Below are 2688 nucleotides of genomic sequence, written 5' to 3'. Positions count from 1 at the left end.
TTCTGTAGCTTGATGTATTTATGACAAACTGACATTAAATATTCGATCTCAGTATCAGAAATAGCTTAGATGTTATTTGTATCTTTTAGACCCAGAAAATTATGAAATAGATAGTGTCTCCCTCTTTGCATTGGCTGCTAGCAAGCTCAGAGACAATTAGTCTCCTCTAGCAAATAACTAGTGGCCTATCTCTAGCAAATAACTAAGAAGGACCTTATGTTACACATATGTGGTTATATGATGCCTGATTTCAGTTTATTTTTCTCAAAATTGGTATTTATTGTACTGAACTATTATTTCAAGCTGCCTCAAGTTCTCTTTGGAGCAAAGAATGAGGAAACTCATTAAATCTGAAACAATGTCTGGGACAATTATTGATACATAATAGGAGTTCAATATATTTATTGAGTAAATGAATGAATGAAATTTTTATCTGAATCTTAAGATTGAATCTATCAACCAGCCTGGAAGTCATAGTCTCTCAAAAAAAAAAAGTGTGGTAAATGAGAAGATCATCTTGGGAAATGGACCCAGAGAGGCAGAGTGACCTGCTCAGGATGAAAATTTAGAGGCTGTAAGGTAAACCCAGCTTTTTAAAACAAACAAACAAACAAACAACCCTTTGACCTACTTACTGCACTTTCTGTTACTCCAAAACCACCTCTTTTGATCTGAGAGAGATAACTATCCTCAAATAGCTTTCAAAAATGAAATATGAAGAAAAGCATGTTGTTCTATTTGCCTCCTCCACCTCCAGTAAAATGGGATAAAATAATAGAGCAATGTTACCTGCGTTTGCTGGAATTATCATTTGTTTATGGTTTTGTCTTTGTTTTTGAGACAGAGTTTCACTCTTGTTGCCCAGGCTGGAGTGCAATGGTGTAATCTCGTCTCACCACTACCTCTGCCTGCCGGGTTCAAGCAATTCTCCTGCCTCAGCCTCCCGAATAGCTGGGATTACAGGCATGCGCCACCATGCCCAGCCAATTTTGTATATTTAGTAGAGATGGGGTTTCTCCATGTTGGTCAGGCTGGTCTCAAACTCCTGACCTCAGTTGATCTGCCCCTGTTGGCTTCCCAAAGTGCTGGGATTACAGGTGTGAGCCATTGTGCCCGGCCCATGGATTTTTCTTTGACCAAGTCAATGACAGCTCATTTGGTGACCCGTGATGTGATTTTCTTTCTAAAATTTATAAGGAGAAAAATCTAGGTCATGCAGGTAGCTCCATTCAGTAGGCATCCCACAGTCTCCTGGGAGGTCAGGAAAGGATGGTTTTGCTGAAGGTGTTTATCCTGGACAAAAGCCTGCAGATCTGTCACTAGAAGCATGATCCACTATGTCTTGTCAAACATCTTCATCTAAATTGGTCATTGGTCAGGGCTGAGGCAGCTGAATTCTGATGGAAATTCACCTCTCATGTATTTACTCAGTGTTCCTATAGAGAGTGAAAGAAGTTATGTCCATGTTTAACGACCTGACCTATTCACATTTCCAGCATTTTCCCAGTCACTGCCCTTCAGTGCCGTCATTTTTACTGCTCTGCCCCCATAGTGGAAGTCTGTGCTTGGCAGACACTTTTTTAAATTGAATACTCTGTAACCAAAAGAAGCCTTCTTTTTCCTTCCTTATTTACTATTCCTTGTGTATGTTTATTGACATGATAGATATATGTAATTTGCTCTGGAGTCTATTTCTGGGATAGACTTTACATTCTGGGATAGAAATTTACATCTGTTTCTGGGATACCAATCAGTGTTCACTGGTGTCCCATCAGTGGAAGGCATTGATTCTACCTACCAAAACACTTTTAGTATTGGGGCCATCATCTACAGAAGTTTCATTTGTATTTAATTCTATAATAAATGAAACTCAAACTATTACCGCAAATAGCTGAAGCAAATGTCTTGCCTTTGTGCATTTTCTCATGTTTTTTTTTTTTTTTTTTTTTTCCTCTCCTTACTACACGTTTTCTTGCTCGGATGATATAATGCCCAGGAGAGCTACCCAGGGATAATCCATCACTCCCTTATCTGTGCTCCCTCAAAGGTCTCACCTCTATGAGGGTGTCCCCCCGTTATGTTACCAGGATGAGATCATGTGACTGTTTTCCCAATGGACTGTGAGCTCCTTAAGGGCAGGGGCCATCTCTCCTTTTTCTGTGAATCTCCTGAGCCTCCCCAGGACAAGGCAGTCATAGGTCCTCATGTGCATATTCACTCATCCTATTGTTGACTCATTGCGGTTGCTGCTGTTGCCTTACTCAGATTTCCTGCCTTACCTGTGAGGAGCGGACTCTGCAGAAAGCCTGGACAGAAAGAAATCTGATGTGCTAGTCACAGCAGCTCACCTGTTGGCACACTGGTGTGAGTGTCATGTGATGATCATGCAGCCCAAAGGCCTGGGCTTTGTTCACAGGCACAGATATGTCTTCTGAGTCACGCTCAGCCAGCTATTGCCTGAGTCTTAGTTCAGGGATGGAGAAGACCCAGCTCCTGTCTGCAATCTCTTCTGGGGATTTCAGCTGCTGGTGTTGACTCCTGGCCTTAGCCTCCTCTGGGGATTCTCTGAGTTTGGTTCAGTCTTACTCTCCATTTGAGATGAAATTGCTGAGGCAGACACCCTTGGGAGAAGAGAATTTGTCTTCTGGGAGTCTGTATTTAATCCACGGCAACATTGCAAATTGTCAG

The 2688-nt window shown here is 41.7% G+C and overlaps 1 annotated feature.

Moving 5' to 3' along the window:
• Positions 2132-2329: a silencer, noted in NCBI's record as "fragment chr9:111324635-111324832 (GRCh37/hg19 assembly coordinates)". NCBI's record gives its function as "represses an EF-1alpha promoter that drives an FKBP-Casp9 reporter gene in an ReSE screen in K562 erythroleukemia cells {active_cell/tissue: K562}" and the evidence as "EXISTENCE:reporter gene assay evidence [ECO:0000049][PMID:32094911]".

The sequence above is a fragment of the Homo sapiens genome, chromosome 9 (genome assembly GCF_000001405.40).
Source record: "Homo sapiens chromosome 9, GRCh38.p14 Primary Assembly".
NCBI lineage: Eukaryota > Metazoa > Chordata > Mammalia > Primates > Hominidae > Homo > Homo sapiens.
The sequence above is the reverse complement of the archived record's forward strand: the minus strand, read 5'-3'. Positions and strand labels throughout refer to the sequence as shown.